The sequence below is a fragment of the Homo sapiens genome, chromosome 1, assembly GCF_000001405.40.
Source record: "Homo sapiens chromosome 1, GRCh38.p14 Primary Assembly".
Taxonomy (NCBI): Eukaryota; Metazoa; Chordata; class Mammalia; order Primates; family Hominidae; genus Homo; species Homo sapiens.
In genome coordinates this window covers 183,233,493-183,257,733 of record NC_000001.11, presented here as the reverse complement: position 1 = coordinate 183,257,733, position 24,241 = coordinate 183,233,493, and the positions used below count along the sequence as shown (strand labels likewise).

The following is a 24,241-nucleotide window of genomic DNA, read 5'->3' as shown; positions in this document are numbered from 1 at the left end:
CAGAAATGAAAGTGTAGACATTATAACAGATGTCTCAGAAATAAGATGGATCATAAGGAATTATTATGAACAATTATATGCAAACAAATTTGGTAACCTAGAGGGCAGGGATAAATTCCTTTAAAAAGATAATCTGGCAAGATTGAATCAGGAATAGCCTGAACAGACCAATAACAAATAGATTGAAGTAGTAATTAAAAACTTCCCAACAAAGAAAAGCCCAGGACCAGATGACTTCAGAGCTGAATTCTACCAAATTTTCAAAGAATAATTAATACCAATACTTCTTTTTTTAGACAGAGTCTCACTCTGTCGCCCAGGCTGGAGTGCAATAGCGTGATCTTGGCTCACTGCAACCTCCGCGTCCCGGGTTCAAGTGATTCTCCTGCCTCAGCCTCCCAAGTAGCTGGGATTACAGGTGCCTGCCACCACACCCAGCTAATTTTTGTATTTTTGGTAGAGACAGGGTTTTACTATGTTGGCCAGGCTGGTCTTGAACTCCTGAGCTTGTGATCCACCCACCTCGGCCTCCCAAAGTGCTGGTATTACAGGCATGAACCACTACGCCTGGCCTATACATTTTAAACTCTTCAAAGAAATACAGCTGGAAGGAATACCTCCTAGCACATTCTACGAGGCCAGCATCGCCTTTGATACCTAAGCCAGATAAAGACACCAAAGAGGCCAGGCACAGTGGCTCATGCCTGTAATCCTAGCACTTTGGGAGGCCAAGGCAGATCGATCACTTGAGGTCAGGAGTTCAAGATGAGTCTGGCTAATATGGTTAAACCCCATCTCTACTAAAAATACAAAAATTATCCAGGCATGGTGGCACGTGACTGTAATCCCAGCTACTTGGGAGGCTGAGGCAGAAGAATCACTTGAACCCAGAAGGCAGAGGTTGCAGTGAACTGAGATCATGCGCTGCTGCACTCCAGCCTGGGCAACAGAAAAAAAAAGACACCACAAGAAAAGAAAACTGTAGGCCAATATTTCTGATGAGCATTGATGTAAAAGTCCTCAATAAAACATTAGCAAATTGAATTCAACAACACAACATGAAGCTTATACATGATGATCAAGTAGGATTTATCCCTGGCACACAAGGCTGGTTTAACATATGCAAATCAGTCAGTGTGATACATCACATAAATAGACTGAAAGATAAAACCACATGACCATATCAATTGATGCAGATAAAGCATTGGACAAAGTTCAACATCCTTTCTTGATAAAGATTCTTAACAGTTTAAATATAGAAGGAAAGTTTCTCAACATAACGAAGGCCATTTTTTAAATTTTTTAATTTTTTTATTATTTTTTTTGAGATGGAGTCTGGTTCTGTCACCCAGGCTGGAGTGCAGTGGCACAATCTCTGCTCACTGCAACCTCCGCCTCCTGGGTTCACGTGATTCTCCTGCCTCAGCCTCCTAAGTAGCTGGGATTACAGGCACACACTACCATGCCCAGCTAATTTTTTGTGTATTTTTGGTAGAGACAGGGTTTCGCTATGTTGGCCAGACTGGGCTCGAACGCCTGACCTCGTGATCTGCCTGCCTCAGCCTCCCAAAGTGCTGGGATTACACGCGTGAGCCACCACTCCCGGCAAGGCAATTTATTTTATTTTTTTTAAAAAACCCACAGCTAACATTATAATCAATGGGGAGAAAATGAAAGCTTTTCCTCTAAGACCTGATATAAAGCAAGAATGCCCACTATTCCCACTTCCATTCAGCAAAGTACTGAAAGTACTATCAATAGCAGTTAGACAGCCAGGCACGGTGGCTCACACCTATAATCCCAGCACTTTGGGAGGCGGAGGCAGGTGGATCACTTGAGGTTAGGAGTTAGAGACCAGTCTGGCCAATATGGTGAAACCCTGTCTCTAACAGAAATACAAAAATTAGCTGGGCATTGTGGCTTGTGCCTGTAATCCGAGCTACTCGGGAGGCCGAGGTAGGAGAATCACTTGAACCCAGGAGGCTGAGGTTGCAGTGAGTCAAGATCACACCATTGCATGCCTGCCTGGGTGACAGAGTGAGACTCTGTCTGAAAAAAAAAAAAAAAAAAACCCTTAGGAATAAATTTAACAAAGGAAGTGAAAAATCTGTACACTGGAGTATATATAAAACATGGACAAAAGAAATTGAAGACAACACAAATAAATGAAAAGTATTTCATGCTCATGGATCAGAAAAGTTAATATTGCTAAAATGTCCATGCTACCTAAAGAAATATAAAGATTTAATGAAATACCTATCAAAATCCCAATGGCAGCATTCATACTTCACAGAAATAGAAAAATCAACCCTAAAATGTGCTCAGAACTGCAAAAGACCCTGAATAGCCAAAGCAATTATGAGAAAAAAAAAGTTGGAGGCATCACACTTCTTCATTTAAAATTATATTACAAAGCTGTAGTAATCAAAACAGTATGGTACTGGCATAAAAGCAGACACATAGAGCAGTGGAACCGAATAGTGAGCCCAGAAATAAATTCAAACATATATGGTCAACTGATTTTTGACAAAGGTACCAAAAAAGCACAATAAAGAGAGGACAGTCTCTTCAATAGATGGTGCTGGAAAAACTGGATTTCTACAGGCAAAAGAATGAAATTGGACCTTATCTCACACCAGTCACAAAAATCAGCTCAAAATGGATAAAGAACCTAAGTGTAAGATCTGAAACAGTAAACAAAAACAGAAGAAAACATAAAGGAAAATCTCCTTGACATTGGTCTTGGCAATTATGTCTTGGATGCCACACTGAAAGCACAGGCTACAAAAGCAAATAAATAAATAAATGGGACTTCAAACTAAAAAGCTTCTGTACAGCAAAGGAAACAACCAACAAAATGAAAAGGCAACCTAGGGATTGAGAAAAAATATTTTCAAATCATATATCAGATAGGGATTAATATCCAAGATTTATAAAGAACTTACACAACTCAAAATAGCAAGAAAACATATTACTCAACTAAAAACTGGGCAAAGGGGCACAGTGTGATGGCTCATACCTATAATCCCAGCACGCTGGGAGGCTGAGGTGGAAAGATTGCCTGAGGCCAGGAGTTCCAGACATAGTGAGACCCTGTCTCTATCCTTACCCCTTCCCACCAAAAAAAAATTAGCCAGGCATGGTAGCATGTGCCTGAAGTCTTAGCTGCTTGAGAGGCTGAGGCAGGAGGATTGCTTGAGCCCAGGAGTTTGAGGCTCCAGTGAGCCATGACTCACTACTGCACTCCAGCCTGGGCAACAGAGTGAGACCCTGTCTCTCTCAAAAAGCAAACAAACAAACAAACAAACAAACAAAACACCAGAAGATTTGAGTAGACATCTCTCCAGAGATGACATAAAAATTGCTAACAGGTGCATAAAAAGATGCGCAACATTACTAATCACCAGGGAAATAAAAATTAAAGGCATTATGAGATTCTACCTCACACCTATTAGAATAGCTATTATCAAAAAGATAAGAGATAACAAATGTCGATGAGGGTGTGGAGAAAGGGAACCCTTGTACACTGTTGGTGGGAATGTAGATTGGTACAACCGTTATAGAAAACAGAATAGAGGTTCCTAAAGAGATTAAAAACGGAACTGTCATATGACCCAGCAATCCCTCTTCTGGGTATATACCCAAAGAAAATGAAATCACCACCTTGTAAAGGTATCTGCATTTCCAAGTTCATTGTAGCATTATTCACAGTAGCCAAGATGTGGAAACAACCTAGACGTCCATCAATGGATGAATAGATAAAGAAAATGTGTTCTTACACACACACATACACACACACACACACACACACACACACACACACACACACGGAAGTGGAACATTATTCGACTTAAAAAAGGAGATCCTACCACTTGCCACAACTTGGCTAGACCTGGAAGACATTCTGCCAAGTGACATAAGCCAGACACAGAAATAAAAATATTGCATGATTTCACTTATATGTGGAATCTTAAATACACAGATAGAGAATAAAACAATGATTACCAGGGTCAAGTGTGGAGGGCTGAAAGTGGGGAGATATAGATCAAAGGATACAAAGCAGCAAATATGTAGGAATATATATGGAATCTTAAACATACAGATAGAGAATAAAACATGATTACCAGGGTCAAGTGTGGAGGGCAGAAAGTGGTGAGATACAGGTCAAAGGATACAAAGTAGCAAATATGTAGGACAAACAAGTTGAAAGATCTAATGTGTGACATGAGGATGACAGCTAATAATAGTGTATTATATTTAGGGTTTTTGCTAAATTAGTAGATTATAGCTATTCTCGCCACAAGAAGAACAAATACATATCTGAGTGAGATGATGGATATATGAATATTAATTTGGTCCACTACAGTAACCATTAAACTATATTATATAAATAATATAATATTAACACTTATATAAATAATATAATATAATATAATATTAACACTATTATATAAATAATATAATATAGTATAATATATAAATTATAAAATATATAATAAATATGTAATATAACATAGATATACTATATTATATGATGATAATATATGTGTATCTTACAACATCAGATTGTATGACTTAAATATACACAATACAATTTATTTGAGAAAAAAGAATAGTGAATACATTAGATGCCCACTGTGTGTCTGGCACTCTTCTAAGTGCTTTGCATAATGACTCATTTAATCCTTTGAATAACTAAATGAGAGGGGCCCAGATATTACCCTCATTTTACAGGAAAAAAACTGAAGAACAGAGGGGCTTAAATAACTTTCCCAAGGCCTCTCACCTAGGAAGTGGCAGAACCACGATGAATGATGTCACCAAGGTGGGGAAGGAGTTGTGGAGGCAAGAGGGCCTTTCCTAATACAGAACTATTTACTCAACCTGAGAAAAGGCTACAAATGGGGTGCTGGGGAGACAGGGGCATGCCAGTCCTCCTGACTTGCTTTGGGTGTGGATGTCCATCTGATTGTCATCTCTTCTTGTGCAGGCTGGCCCTGCAGCATGGGGACGGCCATGTTGTGGATTACCTGTCCCAGCCGGTCATCGACTACATCCTCAAAAGCCAGCTGTACATCAATGCCTCCGGCTAGCAGCCCCTCGTCCTCCGGCAACACAATGGCCCCTCCATCTTTGTCAGCCCCCTGTTTCTCTCCTGCCTCTCTGTTTCTCCATCTCCTCGTCTTGACTGTTTTCCCTACTTGCTGACTTAACCCCCCATAGTGTGGGGGACCTGCAGAGAACCATGGCATTCCCTATTCCACAGTCATCTTTGGACAGACTTTCCTCTAGTCTCCGGGTTGGGGGTGGGTGAGGGAATGGGGTGGGAGTCGGGGGAAGTGCAGTCCTTGGAGATGTACTGGTGTCCGTCTCCCAGCATGCTCTAGAGAGGCGGCTCTGGTGCCCATCCTCCCAGCACGCTCTGGGGAGGCGGCTCTGGTGCCCATCCTCCCAGCATGCTCTAGAGAGGCGGCTCTGGTGCCCCTCCTCCCAGCATGCTCTGGGGAGGCGGCTCTGGCTCTTGCCTTCCCAGCATGCCCTTTACTACAAAGGGCTATTTTTCTTTTCTTTCTTTTGTTTATTTATTTTTCTTTGTTCACTCCCTGTAGAACTTGGATGAAATCAGTGTCCATGGTTCTTTATGTTTGTAGTCTTGATGTGCTCCTGTGGTATTACTTCCCCTCTGATAGGACATTGTAGCCAGCCTCAGCACTCAGTGAGTTCATCAGGGCCACACCCAGTAGAGAAGGCCAAGCAACCTCCACTTCTTCAGCACCACACACACGCACACACACACACACGCACACATGCGTGTGCACCCGCGCACGCACATACACACACACATATAGCAGTAGCAGCAGCAGCAGCAGCAGCAGCAACCTTTGATCAGGAGTGAGATTTTCGGGTTCTGAAACCTGGGACACGAGTCTGTGAATAGTCGGTTTTCTCAGAATAATTTGAATCTGTTTTCTTAGTTTCAAATGACCATTTCCCTGATGCTCTGAGCTTATGATCACACAGAGCCAGTCCATCCTCATTTCCTGGTGGCATCTGTTCATTTACCTTTGTGGACTGTAGCTGATGGCACAGTGCGGGTTCCCTACCAGCCAGGGGTTTCCAAGGGACCTTTGGAGGCCATGCTTAGACACATTCCTGTACCTGAGAACAACCACATAGGCAGGACCAGATCCACATCGTGCAGTCGTGTCATAAAAAAACAAAACAAAACAAAAAAACACTAGGAGTCCACTCAACCCTGGAGGTCTTTGCTAATTGGAATTATGTATTGTCTGTTGGGCTGGGAAATGTCTCTTTCATATTGTAAGTCCAGGATGAACTAGGAGAAAGCAATTTGTTGCCCTGATGATAACTGATGATTTTCACCCTCTCTAGCTGAGGTAACTCAGACAGTGCATGAGGTCAGTTTCTTCTTGAGAAGCAGTGCCTTGGTCTTGTTTCTGTGGTTGGTTCTAGCCCCTGCAGAGCCTGGGAGCTGCAGGAACTGTCTGAGAAAATCTCCCTAATAGGGGAGTGGGTTCCCAGAAGGGAGATCTGGGAGGGGTCAGGAGCCACTAAGTTGCTTCACTCCTTTTTTCTCTAATTTTCTACCTTCCTCTCTGTTCCTGCAGACAGTTTTGCCAGCTTTGCTTCTGGTTACTAGGGTCTCATGCGTGTCCTGCTTGGAGAGCCATAAGGAAATTGCTGTCTTGTGCTTTGTGTCTCTCATCCAGTCTCTGGCTCTTGGGATTCTGGTCTTTGAGAAATAGTCCCTGAGTATTAGGATACTTTTATCAAAATCTAGTACCAGCTACGGCCAGAAAGGGCCAGGTGGGACCTGAAAGCAAAGACAATGTTCTTTACCACACGTTTCACATCTGCAACATCCTTCAATTGCGGGAAAAGGAACTTGATTTAACAGAAGAACATGGTAGAGCAGCATCCAGAAAGTCTGTTATTCCTCTTGGATTTTTTGAAATAATCTTCAGAGGAAGGAAGGAAAATCCTATTTTGGGGTATCAGTGTTTGACTAGGGATCATGAAATAATAAACTGAAAAAAACTTTAGAGTTCAGTTGATCCAACACTTTCCTTTAAAAGTTGAGGGAGCAGAGGCCCATGGGATTAAATGGCTGGTCCAGGTCAGCCAGCAGGTGTAGGGCCTGACAAGAACATATTGTTTCCCTGACCCCTAGGCCGTCACACCACACCCTCCATTTCCTCATGTTGCTGACCAGGTGCCCATATGATTTCTACACTTCCCAAGCCTTACCCTGGCATCTTTCTTTTAAATTATATCTGTCCCAGGTGCTCTCCACACATAGGATGGTAATGCCAGTCCCAGGGGAGGGTGTGATAGTAAGGAAGGCCACTGTTAGGTTTCCTTTAGAAATAAAGAGATCTCAGCAGCTTGGAAGAAATCCCAGAAGCGGACTCCATCAATCCAAGAAAGAGTTGCTTTGTGGAAGGTGAAGGAAGACCCACAGAGTGCTCAGGATGATGCTATTGCTGGAGAGCGAAAGATGGAACAGCCTTGTCCAGGCAGAACAGTCATAAGCCAGGAAATGAAACAAAGGAAAACAGGTGCCTGAATTTCCTGGGGAAACATGGCTTGTTTAAGGACTTGGAGTTATGGATGGAATTTATGGGACCCACGTGAGCAGACCTGAGGAAGGCTCGATTTCTTTTGTTTCTTGGTCCACTCTGTCACTCTGCTCTGGTCAAGCCCCATTTGGTCTACAGCCCATGAGAAGGAATGAGGCTGGTTCTGCACTCTCAGCATGCAGTCCGAAAGCATGTGGGAGTGGGGAGGGAAAGTGAGATGAATTAAGACAAAGAACAGGTGCCATAGAAGTAGATTTCTAGGAATGAAGTGGGGCAGATCTTATCTTTGTGGATTACAGGCACTGTACTAAAAACAGGTTTCCTATTTAATATAAAAAGAAAGTGAATCTTCTTTTGGATAGAATCATCCATTCCCATCGCCGCACCCCCTACCCCCCAAACACACACACACACACACACACACACACACACACACACACACACACACACGCCCTACTCTTCATTTGCTAGGGGAAGGTCACAGCACAACTAAATCCAGGACAGGACATTGTGACCATGACCCAGCCACAGTCAATACCAGAAAGATGATTCAGAGTCTGAAGTGGTGCCCCAGGTGCCAACAGGATAACCTCTACCCCCCGACTTTGTCTCTGGGGTCCTGTTCCTTCCTGCAAAGCCCAATCCAAGACTGGCATGGCTCAGAGGTTGTGAGAAAGGCATGGACTGGAACAATCATGTCCAGAGGGGTCTGGAGCTTTGTTTCCTGTTCACCAGCAAAAAATGTCTCTCCCATTTTTCTGAAAGTGGCTGATGTAAGAACAGGCAGAAGGAAAACCCTTTTTGTCAATAACTCTGTCCTTAAGGAATGGTCCTCTGGGAGGGCTGTGCTGCTAGTGGGTACCTCAGTCACACACCCCCAACCCCAGGCAGCCTCTAGAGCCTTCTTGCTTTCATTTTCCTTGAATGTACATAGGAACAAGGGGGAAAGTCTCTTACTGAAGTGCCTGAAACCCAAAGCTAGAGCTTCTAGAGACGCCGTTCTTCCTGTCTCAGCTTGGCCAGCCTTTCAACAATGTTCTCTAGTTTCAAGCTCCAGCTTCTCAGAAAGAATTAAAGAACTTGCTGTTCAAATTAAGTAGAAAGTGAGACTCAATAATAACTGAACTACAGCAAAAGGCAGAGAATTACAGGGAGAAAAAACTTGTACTTACCAGCCCAATTCTACTCTCCTCAAACTGACACACACACACACACACACACACACACACACACACACACACTCTTTTAGGGGACTAAGAGAGAGAAGCATGTTATTACATTTTACTCATCCAAACAGTAATGCAAAAATAAAACGGTAGAATATGAAAAGCTCAGGATCTCTCCCAAGGCTACCTACTGCAGGAGGGCCAACAGGTGAGATGGGAAGAATGGAAACAGGGACCGATTTTGTAGCTCATACAATTAGGACACCTTAGGAATAGCATTGTAGTAATGGTGATGAATATGCTCTGCCAAATTCATCCAGTCTGCACCATCTTATAGCTGCCCAGCACACTCGACTGTTCATGTGGTCTCTTTGTAGTGTGAGTTTGGAGTGTCCTATTAGCCTGTTCTGGTTAGGAATGAGTTAACGGCTCTTTCCCTCAACCTTAGTCTAGTCCCAGGGCTGAGGATTCAGCTGGATCCACATGGTCTTGAGGGTTGGCATGAGGAGGGGGAAGCTTTTTTGAATCGCTTTTTGATCACATAATCTGCCATTTTAAGAGTAAGATTTGCTTTATGGAAATCAATTCATTAATAAAAAATGATATTCAAGTTGCAATACCATTTCACAGTGAAATATTTTGAGTACAATTTTGTTGCTAGAATAGTCATGGGCAAGAGTTTTATGCAAAATGTTTCAATTATGTTAATAAATAAGACAATGCTACAAGAGTCTTGTGTCTTGGTCAAGAACTTTCTCTGTGAATTGCAGCATTAATCACTTTTTCTTCATAATTTTACTTGACAGGAGACAACAGTTGTAAAAATGTACTTAGAACAAGCAGTTTCCTGCCTGGTTCAGCTGATGCCACATGTGTTATATAAAAGTATGTACAGCCACATCCAAGGATGATAAAGGGAAGAATAATTAGCAAATTTGTAAATTGTGCCTCCGTTTTCTTAGTTTTGAAACATTAAATCTTACATCTTGACTAATTTGCATAGTCCAGTGTTGGTTAACTTTGGCTCCTCAATGAAATTAGTATTTTATGAAATAAAATTATATTTGTGAAAATGAAAAACTTGAACAACTTTTTAGCTTGAAAGATCTTAACTAAAACAGAACTTGTTAAACTCGCAATTTGCTTTGGCAATGTAAACAAGCAAAAGTGAACAATTTGTTAACTGTTCAATCCTGCTGTGATTATCAGTTCTTATTTCACCTTCAGTCATATCACACACCCTATATTGGGTTAGGTGTGAATGGTGATTGCCATTAGCTAATTATCAGATATGATTCAGAAGGTGAAACAGTAATTCCCTATTAGGCTGGCTCATTGAAGGATTAGCTGTTTGTTTATCAGATTTATTTTTTTAAATGAATCATTTGGTTCTTGGGGTTCTTCGTATTTTTTTCTTTTATCTTTTTTTTTTTTTTTGGCTTAAAATTGAGATGTGGCAGCTTTGTGTACATCCGTGTGGGTTTTGTGGCACATCATAATGATGCTTGATATGCTTGTAAATTGATCACTCGTGTTTACATTTGCTATTTTGTTCACAAAGCTAAACACTGCCTTTTTTTCCTTGTCCTGAGAGTACATAATGATGAAATCTCATTTCTTTGCTTTGAGTTTTGTTTTTGTTTTGTTTTGTTTCGAGACAGAGTTTCGCTCTTGTCGCCCACACTGGAGTGCAATGGCGCGATCTCGGTTCACTGCAACATCAGCCTCCGGGGTTCAAGTGATTCTCCTGCCTCAGGCTCTAGAGTAACTGGGATTACAGGCGCCTGCCACCATGCGCAGTTAATTTTTGTATTTTTAGTAGAGACAGGGTTTCGCCATGTTGGAGTTGGCTGGTCTCAAACTCCAGACCTCAGGTGATCTGCCTGCCTTGGCCTCCCAAAGTGCTGGGATTACAGGCGTGAGCCACCACATTCAGCCAAGAGCTCATTTAAAGTGAAATATAAACACTGGTTTAGTTTGCTAACTTATAAAATATATATACTAAATATGAATTAACATATGTGCACATACACATTTCTTCCCTTATGACCTATATGTAAGCTTTGGATCTTTGGATTTCTTAGAAAGTTCCATGTAGCCAATAGTATGAAGAAGGGAGAGAAAAATTCTAATCTATGTTCTCCAGGTGGGAAAATTGAACCACAGCAAGAATCCATAACATTCCCATTACCATGCAAAACATTAAAAGAAGGCACAATAAACACATTCCTGGTCCTTGAGACTTGTTCAAAACATTGAATATTACTAAGCATCTTCTTATCCTTTTCTCCAGCCTCCCAAGAGGCTGAGAGAAGTACTGGAGAGTACTGAAAAGAAACCACATCCTTGGAGAAGACCAGAAATACATCTGCTAAGAAGTTATAGTCTATGGGCAGTTTCATTTCCACCCCTTTCTCCAAACAGAGGTCCCTAACAGTTAAAGTAGATGATGACATTTGTAATAGCTTACCAACAGCATAATTAACCATAAACTCTCAGAGGAGAAGTGCAAGAAAGCTTTCACTATGAACTACTAATACTGACGAAAAATCAGAAGGAAAGCTTCCTTATCTTGGCAGCGTCAGGTTAAGGACTGACAACATGAGGCTAGATCCTGGGGAAGCCACATCCCCTTCTCTCTTCTAAGGGATAACTTTTCAGGTCCTTAGAAATGAGAGAATTATTTGTACATCAAGGGAAGTACCATAAGTCATTTTTCTACTCCCCATCTCTCCTCAGGTATCATCTCCCATTTGTCAGGGAAGACAGTCTTACGACCTTTTTTTTTTTTTTTTTTGAGACGGAGTCTTGCTCTGTCACCCTGGCTGGAGAGCAGTGGCATGAGCTTGGCTCACTGCAAGCTCCACCTCCCAGGTTCACGCCATTCTCCTGCCTCAGCCTCTCAAGTAGCTGGGATTACAAGCGCCCGCCATCACGCCCGGCTAATTTTTTTGTATTTTTAGTAGAGACGGGGTTTCACCATGTTAGTAAGGATGGTCTCAATCTCTTGACCTCGTGATCCGCCCATTTCGGCCTTCCAAAGTGCTGGGATTACCGGCATGAGCCACCGCGCCCAGCCTCTTACGACTTTTAAAACAATCTATTCCATTGAAGAATCCTTATATGATTACACATACCGTGGTTATTAACTAATGGGATCCCTCACCAAGTTTCCTAGAACATGTACTGTCTAATCTTACACTTGGAAGAGACAGCCAATCACCGACAATGCATTTTCTCCTTTCATAATGTAGAATTGTCACTGTGAAGTGGCATCCTAACAAAGGACTACATCTTCCAGACCCCTTTGCATGGCAGATGTGATTGTTTTGCTGGGTTTTGGACCATGGCACGTGAGGCCCTCCCAAGCCTGGCTTTCCTGTGTATCCTTCCTCCATGTTCTTTTCTCTTTCCATCAGCTGGTGACAACCAGCTGGAATGGCCACAACCCTCCATCCCCCAGGCAACCTTAGAAGTCACATGTAAATGGCAGGGCCTCTGAAATGACTGTGGAGTCTGGGCACTGGTCGTTAATTATAGCAAGAGATCTGTAGAATGTGTAATTGGGTATGCCAAGACAGGATTACAAATTCATTTTCACAGAAGGTAAAGCAAAGTGACCAGACCTATCAGAATCTGGGGGTCAATGGACAGAAGCAGAATTGTTTCCTCAGCCGCTTGCGTAGATGACCAATTCAAGATCTTAATTTAGTACATTTTAACTTCTTAAAAAGCATGACATATGCACCACAAACTATTAATTTTACCTTCATTTTATAGCTGATGAAAAAGATAAGAATATTAACTATATCCCCCCCACCCAGCTAGAGTTTTTCTAGAAATAAAGCTTTATGCTTAGAAGACAGCATCAGTTAAACCTCATAAAAATCTCATTGACAGCATCATCAATCCTGTATGGTTGGAATGGGCGAAGTAAGATGCTCAGAAGTGGGAACTGAAGATGCTAACTCTAGGACCTATTGCCATTTCTGTGGCATTTTCATTTCCATTACTTTGGTACCATCATAGGCTTAGAGTTTAGTAAATCAGAAACTGACCCCAGGCATCTAACAATTGTTCTTTATTTAAAAACACTTTCAGGAAAATCCAAGGAAATACAGAAGCAAGGCAGCACCATAGTCTTCCCAGCCAAGGTGGAAGTGCCTCTGGTTCCTCCAGCAATTCCCACTGGTGTTATCATAACTCAACAGTCTGTTGCAATCAGTTGTAGAAAGGCACAGAGTGACAGCTGGAATGCAAAGAAATGTGCACAACCCAGAGCTCTGTCAGCCTTGCCAAAACTCAAGTGCCCCCATGGGAGGGTCTTGCAACATATGTTCTGTTGAGCAAAGAGGTTGCAAACCAAGCGGTTATTGCAATAAACACCACTTGTGACAAACAAAGTTTGTAAGTTTAAATTTATTTTTTAAAAATGCTTGTCTTCCTCACTAGACAATCAACTCTATGAGGGCAGAGACTATGTCACCACTGTCCCACCAGCCCCTGGCACACAGTAGGTACTCAATAAATATATGTTGGAAGGATGGATGGAGGTAATGGATGGAAAGATGGATGGAAGGATGAATGGAGGGATGGATGTGACCCAGCTGAAGTGTGAGTAGGAACATTCTCTTATTATGGGTGGAGGAAAGAGAGAGGAGATTGAGAAAATAAGATAAAATACATTGATGCGCATCATTTTTGGTGTTCGAAAAGTAGGATTGAATTAGGACTAATAAATCTAGAGAATTTTACCTCTTTCAATGCCCAAGCCACACTTTTCTATCACTTTGAAACCGAAAAAGTAAATACTTTCCCAACATTTGCTTTGCTGGTAGGAAATGCTTTAATAAAAATGCAATCTCTAAGTTGCCATGGCATCATTAAAAGAAAGGATGTCATGCCCAGGTCCAGAACTTGAAGGTGGCAGGCACCAGCAAGCACCATAGCTCTGAATGGGCCTGCCTTACAGGTCCTCACTCCAACACTGCTCACTTCTTCCAGCTTGAAAATGGAGAACATGTTCACACCCTGGGTTGTAAGTAGGAGGAACTCTGATCAGCAAGAAGCTTGCAGAGGACAATATGAGGCAATAGTATTTTACTGGCCACAGTGTGACTGGGTTGCACTCTGTTCTGACATTAGGAAGAATTTCATGCCTGGGCAAAGTCAAAGTTTTTTCCTTTAGTCACATTACTCAAAGAATAAGTTGACTATATCCCAACAGCACTTGTCCAAATTCCAGGACTCCACTTACGACTATTATGAGGCAAACATCTGCCTGTGCAGTTTGTCTTTCCATCCAGTCTATTCTTTGGGGTCCAGATCCTTGATCATTCTCACACCCAGTGCTATCTGCCTCATTGCCCAGCATCAGGAAGCAAGGAGTATGGTGCAATAAGACAACCACCTGGCCATGGGATCAGGAATGGGGTCAGGTCAGTTGACCTGAGCATACCCATTAAACATGTTCAAATGTCCCCATCCCACCCACTCACATGACATGGCTCCCGAGCCCTGAGATCTGTATCCCAAGAACCTCAGTTGAGAAATATTTATGGCAGCTTCACTGTTGCTCAAGAGCCTGGGTATTGTAGCAGCCTGGGGGCAGGTTGTCCCTAATGTTCTCCAAGTTCTTCACATCAGCCAGAATCCCATCTATGCTTGTCTCCAGCAAATGGAGGTGGCCCCTCTGCTGACGTGCCCTCTCTTCCAGCTCTGACATCATGGGCCGCAGTTGGCTGTTGATCTGGGTCTTGGCTCGGGAAAGCTTCTGCTCCAGTAAGACCAGCCCCTCTTCATCTACACTGAGAGGCTGGTCTATTTCAAGGAATGAGACACAAGTTAACATAGAAAAGCTGTAGTTAGATCTCCTTGAACACCCGTGCCCTTCTATACCCATAACTAATTCCCATTTCCACTTGCCTAGAGCAAATAGTATACCATGAATTTTAAAGCTTATTTTAAATTAGAAATCACCTAGAAAGAGTTCTGAGAGGGCTAGCCTATTTACTGGGCTATGAACAACACTGTTCAAGACTCTGAGCTATCTAGTTCAGCAACGTGATGTCTGGAGTTTTCCTTTCGTGTTAAGGTCAATAGTTTATGCTATGAAAAAAAAAAAAAAGAGGACTGAAGGTCATAGGGGACTGAGCACTATCCAAGGCATTTGCCTAACATAGGTCACTGCTAGGATTAGAATCAACTCCAAATTATGCTTTCTGAACCACCCTTAAGAAATATCTTGCTGTTTTCTATTAGAAGACCTTAAGAAACTGGCTGAGCTTCAGGGTTATAGAGGCCAAGGTACGCTTTGCCACTTGGGGAATGGATTCCAGCTGCTAGAAATTGATGTCAGACATCATTCCAGCCTGAAACAGCAGTCATCTGACTAGATGTTATTTTATTTCCAATTTAAAATAAAATCACGTTTGTTCAAGCATGTGTTACCCTTAGACTATCTAAAACTAATGTCAGTATGAAGGGTACCTGGCCAGACCCATTTAGTTCAAATAGGTTTGAGTGGCCTTGGTCAATTCGAACTCAAGGTCAAGTTGCCTCACATATGTGAGCTGAAGTGATAGTATTTGACTGCATGAGTTTATTATACCTAGAACAATTAATCTCATATTGCTCCAGGACTTAAGAGAGCACACAGAGTAGAAACAACACTGTAACAAAAATGTTGATCCAAATGGATCTTTCACTTGGGGTCAGGGAGAATTTAGGAATTTAGGATTTTACGACATGCAGAGGAAGTTAAGTAAGCTTGGGAACAAAATAACCTTGTCTATGGGAAGGTGGCATGAGTTACTAGAAAAGAACACGAGCATTGGAGGCAAAAAGATATCAGTTTGGATCCTGCCTCTACAATTTACTACATGACCTGTGGGGCATTATTAACCTCTGAGCCTCAGTTCAGTCCTTCATGAAATAAAATAATAAAAATGATAAAACCCACCACAGAGGACTTTTACAAGACAAATGATATTACACCATGAAAACATCTGACACATAGTAAATGTTTAATAGCTTCCATCTACCCTGCTCTCCCTACTCTCTCATATTCTCTTTACAGGTCTCATTAGTTTCATTGCCTTTCTTTTTTTTTTAGAACACTAAACAACGCTGCTAAAGTCTCAATTGGGAAGGTTTTGTTTTCCTTTGTTTTGTTTTTTCCTTTTTTTTTTCTCAATCCTTTGAGGGCATTTTACTCTTTTGGGCTCATTGGATCACAAAGCAGACCCAAGACTATAACAACACAGATGACATTGGCATCTCAGGGTGATGATGACACCCTACAGAAAAATCCAGTTTCGAAGTTGTTCTACTGAACTGGAATAGCAGAGCCAAACATTTTCCTAAATGTTACTGGAATCTGTGACGAATCTCTAGTTCCACATCTGCTGCAGTCCAAGCTTGATAAAACAGACCAAATGAGGGTTTGATATCAGCTCTACCTAAATCCAGAAATTTAACCAAAATAAGTTTTCTTTTGGGAGCGATTCTGTAGGGAAACCTGATTTTCTTCCACGCTGTGCCATCAGATCTTCCTAAAATTATCTCACAGGCCTACTCTCATCACATTTCTTCTGGGTTATTTACCCAAGCAGCTCAAGTTCCTCCCACTGGTTACATCAAGGTATAACTTTGGTTTGGGGAGGAACAAATGTAAAATCGGCAAGTGATTCTTTTTTATTTTTCCTTTTTTTTTTTTTTTTGAGACAGTCTTGCTCTGTTCCCCAGGCTGGAGAGCAGTGGTGCAATCTTGGCTCACTGTAACCTCCGCCTCCTGGGTTCAAGCGATTCTCCTGCCTCAGACTCCTGAGTAGCTGGAATTACAGGCGCCCACCACCACATCCAGCTAATTTTTGTACTTTTAGTAGAGACAGGGTTTCACCATGTTGGCCAGGCTGGTCTTCAACTCCTGACCTCGGGTGATCCACCCGCTTCAGTCTCCCAAAGTGCTAGAATTACAGGCGTGAGCCACCACACCCGGCCGGCAAGTGATTCTTGACTTCACAGACTGGGAAAATCTTCCTTCACATCTTCCCAGCCACCATTCTACTGCCTTAGAGCAGGCTCCTGTCATTTCTCTCTTCAATTATTTCAACAATATCTTAAGTAGTCTCAACCTGCCTTCTCTCTAACCCCCTCTTCAAGCTTTCCTCCACTCGGCTGCCCTAGTGATCTTTCTGAAATATACAGTGGTGATGTTATTCCTCTGCTTAAAACTGTCCACTGGCTTCTCAGGGTCCAGGCCAGACTCTTTAGCAGGATTCCCAAGCTGTCTCGTGTTCTGTGAAGTTGCTTATATACACCTGTTCTTTGGCCCACAGACCTTTACCCCCAAGTGCAATAGGTGTTCAGTGACCCATCTTAGCAACGGTAAAACAGGGTCCAGTAAATGTAAGGGAACCTGCCGAAAGTTATCTGGGCCTGGAAACAAAGCACATTTACTGATATCCTTAAGGAAAGCTGAGACTCCCCTTTGCTGGGGCTAGGTATAGTGAGTGTTCTGGAGCAAAGCCCTGGAGCATGGAGCTGGAAGGTTGTGGGTTGTGGGTTCACATACCCATCAGATGCAGGAGGCCGTCTAATGTGTTGAGTGTGTCTTGGATTGTAACCCCAGCGTTCTTGGCTCTGGTATCAACCTTCTGGGCTTCTGTAATCACCTGAGGACAAATAAGCACAAACCAGCCTTGAAAAGGTATTTTCCATTTTGGCAAGTTGAAAGGGATCTCCCGTGGAAAGCAACAGGAACTCACCATCTGTACTGCATCCATATTCGTGTCAAACTCCAGCTCCTTCCTTTCCAGCTCTCCTTCCACTTCCCTCATCTCACTCTTCAGAGAGGCCAGTCCCTTTTCCATGGCCAAGGCTCCATCTGCTGTCACATTGGCTTCCAAGTTCAGACTCCCAATCTCCTGAGAGAAGAAAAGGAGCCAGGGACGGAAGGAGAGATAGGGGTGAGGCACAAAAACATCCCAAAGACAACCATAGAAAAAATACAGCGGCAGCCGGGCCCTGATGGAGTAAATTAGATGAATAATGAGAGAATCAGACTTAGGGACAGGGGTACTTTGCCAAGCTCTGCCTCAAACAAGCTAATCTGGGGGTATGACTAGGAAGGTCAGCGGCCAGACAGTGCTTCTCTCTCAGTTCAATGCTCACCAAATGTTGAACAGAGTTAGGAACCATTTGGGAAAACCCGGAGGACAAAAAAACACATCATTCTCTGTCATGCGTCTTTGCTACCATAGTCTTTTAATCTGGGGCTCCCATGGGCCACAACAGGGCTCTGAGCCTCAGAGGTTAAAATAAGCTCAATGTTCTTTTTCCCTCCACACCACCCTTGTGTTTGGTGCTACTGGCACCAACACACATGTCGATTTCTCTTTACCTGTTCAATCTCACTGGAGATTTCCAGGGCCTCCCCGGCCCCATTCTTTGCCCTCTGTGCATCAGCAGCAGCGCTCCCCAGGGCTCTTTCTGCTTGCTGGGTCTTGTCACTGGCATCTGAAACCTTCTGGCTGATGTAGGAGAGTCTCTTCATGGCTTCTTCAGCTTCTGCTTTTCTGTTGTCCACCTGCAGGTCAAACTCTGAAATGAAGAAAAGAAAAAACTGCCGTGAAGATGAAAGCAAATTTACAAATGAGTGAAAGGGGCTGATGTTGTAAAGAAAAATTCCTGAAAGAGTGTTATTACTGACTGGGGATGACGGTGTGGGAAGTTACGGCTGGAATTAACTTTCTTAAAAGATGCATTGGAGGGGTTATAATTACTCCGTTGCTTAGAGAAACCGACAATCAGCCTGCCCTGAGTTCCACAGCACTGCAAGAGTATTGAAACTGAAGAGTGCATCAGAAGCAGGTAGAATCTTTGAAGTCCAAAGCATCAAGCCAGAGTTTTAAGCCCTAAGCTCCAATGATAAGAATTGGGGTTAGGTTTGAATGGGTAGAGAAGTACTTTCCATGAAGAAAATTCCAAAATTTTGGGAATGTTTCTCTTTTGTGCTTTAGTGAAGAAGCCTGAAATTTTAATGAAATCTCTGCGAGGCACAAATCTAAATCTCCTGGGATCTAGATGCAGTGACAAAGGTTGCTCTGTTATCACCACAAAGAAACATATCAGTTCCATACTGGAACCAACCAGACTACACAGGAAAAGGAAAAATGTCTGTACAGTAGTGGTATGTTGCATCTGTGAGAGAACTTAGAGAACACATAGTTTAACCTCGTCTCTTTAAAGAGGAAGATACTAGGTTCTGGAAAGGTTACATGACTTGCCTATGGTCACACAGCTAGTCTGGCCTGGTTAGGTGGCCCAGCAGAGATCAGAACTCAAGGCTTCTGACATCTAGCTCTATTATTACTACTACATTAAATATTAATGCATTAAGATTTTCTTTAGAAAGATATTTACTAAGGATCTATTAATATCCCAATATACCTGCCACTTAGAGAGACATATGAGAATTCAAAGGAAATTGGTCATGACTATACACTTAAAATACTCAAGTGACCTGAACCATGAAGTACTAACCTCTGAGGTTTTTAAGGATGCTCTCAACTTCATAAAAAGTGGCATTGCCCATACTCAGTGCTTCTTGTGCTCTGCTTTTAGCAAGATTGGCACGGGAAAGCAGCTGATCTGATTTCTGTAAAAAGGCAGATAGAACAAGATTAGAGGAAGTACATTCCTGCTGGCAAAATCACTCTGACACATTTCTCTTCATGACAGCAGATCATTGTGATTCACTGCAGAGTCTAGGGGTGCTGTAGCAAACCCCTCTACAATCTGGGACAGAGCAAACTTTATAAGTCCACAACACATTCCATATAGAGAAACTCTAGTCCACCATCAGGGACAGGAACGGTTTTATAAATCATAATTTTAAACTCTAGATATTTCCTGAAGCCAAGTAGTAGACTGAGCTAGACCAAAATTAGACCCAAGAGGCCTAGGTCCTATTCCTAGGTTTGAGGGCTGACCGACTGGGTGGAACTGAGCTAATCACACCAAGATCTCTGCAACTGTTACTTCTTCCATAAGCAGTGCCTTCATTGTTGATTTTTCCAGAAACAGGGTCTTGCTCTGTCACCCAGGCTGGAGTACAGTGGTGTAATCATGGCTCACTGCAGCCTCGAACTCATGAGCTCAAGTGATCCTCTCGCCTCAGCCTCTCAAGTAGCTAGGACTATAGGCACGTGTCATCATGCACAGCTATTTTTTTATTTTTTATTTTTTGTAGAGATGGGGGCCTCACTACGTTGCCTACGCTGGTCTCAAACTCCTGAGTTCAAGCGATCCTCCTGGCTTGGCCTCCAAAAGTGCGGGGATTACAGGGATAAGTCACCGTGCCTGGTCAGAGAGCTTTTGATTATTCTTCTTGCCATATTTATTCATATGGTGGGCATTCAATACATCTTTATTGAGTGAATGAATTAACAAAAGAATACCTCTCTCCCACTTTTTCCATTCTGTAAGAGCTGCTGTGCTTCTTCTTTCCAGTTTCCCAGATTCTTCTGTGTACGCTTGAACTCATCCATATGCCTGGTTACCAGGCTTGAGAGTGAATCCGCTTTTTGTTTGATCCTCTTTGCTTCTTCCACCTATGAGCCCAAAGAAACCAGGGAGTCTGACTTCTGCTTACCAGTTACCACACCAGCCTTGTTAGGACCTGGCACCATTGTTTGAAAATAGCAACAGCCTTAAGAAGCCAAGAAAATAGTCACTAGCCATCCAGGCCCAAAACCTAACAAAAATGAGTCAGTATGCCCAATGAAAGTAAGGCAGCAGGTCCCCTCAATGTCAAACAGGCTTTGTCTCTGTTCTTTTTCATTTTTTAAATGTTTACATGTTAGTTTATATATTCATGGGAACATATATCCATGGGGATTGTGAATTTTTTTTTCTATAGGTAGTAAACAAAATCTTCTTAATCGAATAAGTTTGGAATTGTTAAAGGAACTGATGGCAGAAACAATGCAAAACTTTTGAGAAGAAGTCATCTCAGAGTGGCTATACATAGAGATATACTATAGGTTGGACTCAAGCGTAAACAAAAAAACTTTATAAAAATTTTCCACAGGTTTCAACAATCCCCAGAACTAAGGAAGATACATAAAACTTTTATCCAGTAATAGGTTTAGCATGGGTCAAATCCTTTCCAGAGACTAGGATTGTGGTTTAAGAACAAGCAAATGGGTAATGAGAAGGCTAAATACTCTTCCCACTCTAAAACAGAAATGGTCAACATGGAGAAAAAGCTGAATGTTTGAACAATATTATGGCACCCCCAGAAAAGAAAGTATTTATGGCCCTCCTGTATATCAAGCACACAGGCCAGATGCCCTCACCTGAAAGGACTGATCACTGACTCCCTGAAGCCGAGACACTGAATCCAGGAGGCGGAGACTGTGCTGATAAGACCTATCTGCTTCAATTTCCGCTTGAGTGGCCTCCCTTGTCAACTGCTGGGCCAGGGACTTGGTTTTCTCCAATCTGGTGTTGGGGGTGGGGAGGGGGCGGTAATAAAAAGAGGACTTTGAGAATTCTTTTTTTTTTTTTTTTTTGAGACAGGGTTTCACTCTGTTGTCCAGGCTGGAGTGCAGTGGCGTGATCACAGCTCACTATAGCCTCATCCTCCCACGCTCAAGCAATCCTCCCAATTCAGCCTCCCAAGTAGCTGGGACTACAAGAGTGAGCCACCACACCTGGCCCCCCCTTTTTTTTTAACAAAAGCAAAATTTCACCCTGTTGTCTTGAAAGTATGTAGTTAGAATAACCAGAAGAACCAAACAAAATTATTTATCAGATACTTGTCCCTCTCCACTAAACATAAGCCTTTTAATTTACACAGGTTGGGTCAGAAAAATTCAATCCCAAATTCCCCACTTCTTGATAACAGAAATATATTTCTGTATTTTTATATCTCCCCATGCCATCAGATGGGTTTATTCACACCCTTCAAACACCAGAGGGTGACCATACCTCCCAGTATTGTAATCTCAATCAAAACATTAATTTTATTTAGACTAACCAATCTTTTTTTCTTCCAGTCTTAAAAATATCTGCTTTTCCCCAAAGTAAAACTCCCATGATTTCGGCCCTCTTATTATCATTAATAATATGTTTTTTACAACTAGCATGGTGCCCCTCAAGTACGGTTAGCATTTTGCCCTGGGAGTATCCAAGGTATAATGAGCCACGGGAGGACCCGTAGGAACGTACTTTTCCACAAGCCCTTGCACCACAGCACCGTCCGGGCTACCGCTTCCGCTTCCGACTCCTTCATGCAGGGCCTTGCGCACCAGTGAGAGGGCTTGTTTGGAATAGTCCTCAGTTTCCCTTGTCAGTTGCTCCATGTTACTGGCTGACTCAACGTGGCTGAAAGGATTAAAAACAAAAGAATAAGAGTTTTCACGCAAAGGGCTTCCTTTAGGTTGTTCAGTTACACGAAGGGCAAAGAGTACGGGAGCTGGTCTGATTTAGAAAAACCCTACAGAACTGACTCAAATTACATGGAATTAGAGGTGCTGTCAAGAAGCAGAAAGTGTTTTGGAGAATTCGCCTTATGTCATAGACCTTGTAGTGATCTTTTCCGTTTATGGCATAATCACTGGAGTCCCGGAGCGGGGTGGAGTGTGGAGATGGGTGGGAGCAGTCTCAGGTGATAAAACACTGCATCTGTAAGCTGTTTGCTGCAGGAAGAAACCTCTAGGTCTTATTTCACCCAGGATCCAACCTTTACGCACTTTCGCTTCAGCTCTAAACTGGGCCCACCACTAGGGGGACAAAGCATGTCTATAAAAATTCCCTGGATACTTTTGGTTCCTCCTGGTTCTAAAAAGTGCTTCTTTAAAAAAAACCCAAAGAAACAAAATTAAAAACGAGCTCAGGAGGCAGCTCATGTTACAAAATATACAAATCAGCCCTCTTCCGCTGACTGAATTCCACTTGGGATTAACAGAGCCTGCCACCCTGCTGAGCAGACCGCTACCAGCAAACCTCTTAAACACCGTAGGATTTCTAGTCAGAGCCAAGGATGAAGGGAGCTGCGTGTTATCATTGGGGCCCTGCAGAGCCGGTTTTCAGGAGGAAGTTCCCCCTCTGCAGTCTTGGCCCCCACAGGCTAAAAAACAACTCGTTGCTACTTGTTCCCAGGCTTGGTGTGGGAGTCCCTGAAAGCTGCAGAGCTTTCTCTTCCAAGGGCTGATTCATTTCACGTGGCCCGAGGAATCACATCTGACATACAACACAGCCATACTGTGAGTCATAGGGAAATGTGGGAAAGAAACACCCTCACCCCCAACTCCTGCCAAATGACCCTGCCCAGTGGCCACTTACATACAATAAAAGCCAAGTGGTTAAAAACTGGTTTCAAGGTAGGGAATGGCTGCAAAGGAGCCTGGAGAGAATAAATACGATGCTTGGGTCCCTAATACCCTACACTCTTATTCAAGTCTGGCCTTGCAGAGACGGCTTGAAGCAGAGGTGCCCTCTAATGCTGCTCACCTTTCTGCTAATCTTGTGGCCTCCTGAGCCAGACTTTTAAAGCCATTTGGCCCCACGTAGTGGTCTGAGGCAGGAATGTTCTGTGGGAAAAGGAGAATCGGTTAAGGCGAATCGGTTAAGGCTTTGCACTTGGCCATGGAACTTAAGCAGGTGCATCTGTCCTGTCAGAACCACTTGTCATTAGCCACACAGGGTTCCACACCCTGACACTTACACCATGCCTCTATTCACCATTATTCTATTTTTAAAAAGTATGTATAGGCCGGGTGTGGTGGCTCATGCCTGTAATCCCAGCACTTTGGGAGGCCAGGGCGGGTGAATCACCTGAGGTCAGGAGTTCAAGACCAGCCTGACCAACATGGTGAAACCCCGTCCCTTCTAAAAATGCAATAATTAGCCAGGCATGGTGGTGCATGCCTGTAATCCCAGCTACTTGGGAGGCTGAGGCAGGAGAATCGCCTGAACCTGGGAGGTGGAGGTTGCAGTGAGCCGAGATCGCACCATTGTACTCCAGCCTGGGCAACAAAAACAAAACTCCATCTCGAAAAAAAAAAAAGAAAAAAAAAGTATGTATAGACAAGAGCAAAGAAATCCAAGTTCAAAAAAGTCTGTATATAGATATAGATGCATTAAAATATATATACATAAAAAAATCCAAAACAACAACAAAGTAAAATAAAAATTCTTTTCCTGCTGGAAGCCAAAAAAAATAAAAATAAAAATATATACATGTACATTTTTTATATGAATTTAAAGTCCAGTAGAATATATTCCAAATTTTAACAGTGGTTATTTGATAGTAATGGGATCATAGAGAATTTTTATTTATTTTCTACAACAAACATTTCTGTAATAAAGGAAACAATCAATACACATTATTTTTAATGTGACTTCCTCATTATAGTATCTGATTATCATTCCACTTCCTCTATTCATCTCCCACCCATCCATTTA

The 24,241-nt window shown here is 42.6% G+C and overlaps 2 protein-coding genes across 7 annotated transcripts in view, besides 1 other annotated feature; one reads left to right on the top strand and one right to left on the bottom strand.

The window, feature by feature from the left end:
• Positions 1–9,497, top strand: part of NMNAT2 (nicotinamide nucleotide adenylyltransferase 2) — a 170,144-nt gene extending 160,647 nt beyond the window's left edge. For both annotated transcript variants that reach the window (NM_015039.4, NM_170706.4), the window contains exon 11: positions 4,991–9,497. In NM_015039.4, the coding sequence (NP_055854.1) occupies positions 4,991–5,093 (103 nt within the window). In that variant the 3' untranslated portion in view covers positions 5,094–9,497. The remainder of the gene's footprint in view (positions 1–4,990) is intronic.
• Positions 1–24,241, bottom strand: part of LAMC2 (laminin subunit gamma 2) — a 72,705-nt gene that overhangs the window by 1,235 nt on the left and 47,229 nt on the right. For 2 of the 5 annotated variants that reach the window (XM_047420358.1, XM_047420361.1), the window contains exons 15-22: positions 23,288–23,367; positions 22,004–22,159; positions 21,130–21,274; positions 20,230–20,382; positions 19,313–19,427; positions 18,171–18,370; positions 17,536–17,694; positions 17,343–17,442 (exon numbers count right to left, since the gene is read on the bottom strand). In XM_047420358.1, the coding sequence (XP_047276314.1) occupies positions 17,343–17,442; positions 17,536–17,694; positions 18,171–18,370; positions 19,313–19,427; positions 20,230–20,382; positions 21,130–21,274; positions 22,004–22,159; positions 23,288–23,367 (1,108 nt within the window). Of the gene's footprint in view, positions 1–12,606; positions 14,588–16,439; positions 17,443–17,535; positions 17,695–18,170; positions 18,371–19,312; positions 19,428–20,229; positions 20,383–21,129; positions 21,275–22,003; positions 22,160–23,287; positions 23,368–24,241 lie in introns of those variants that run through there. The other 3 variants (NM_005562.3, NM_018891.3, XM_017001273.2) reach the window with 3 other exon arrangements.
• Positions 22,626–22,920: a silencer, noted in NCBI's record as "tiled region #596; K562 Repressive non-DNase unmatched - State 13:Ctcf". NCBI's record gives its function as "represses a minimal TATA promoter and a strong SV40 promoter by Sharpr-MPRA in K562 cells {active_cell/tissue: K562}" and the evidence as "EXISTENCE:reporter gene assay evidence [ECO:0000049][PMID:27701403]".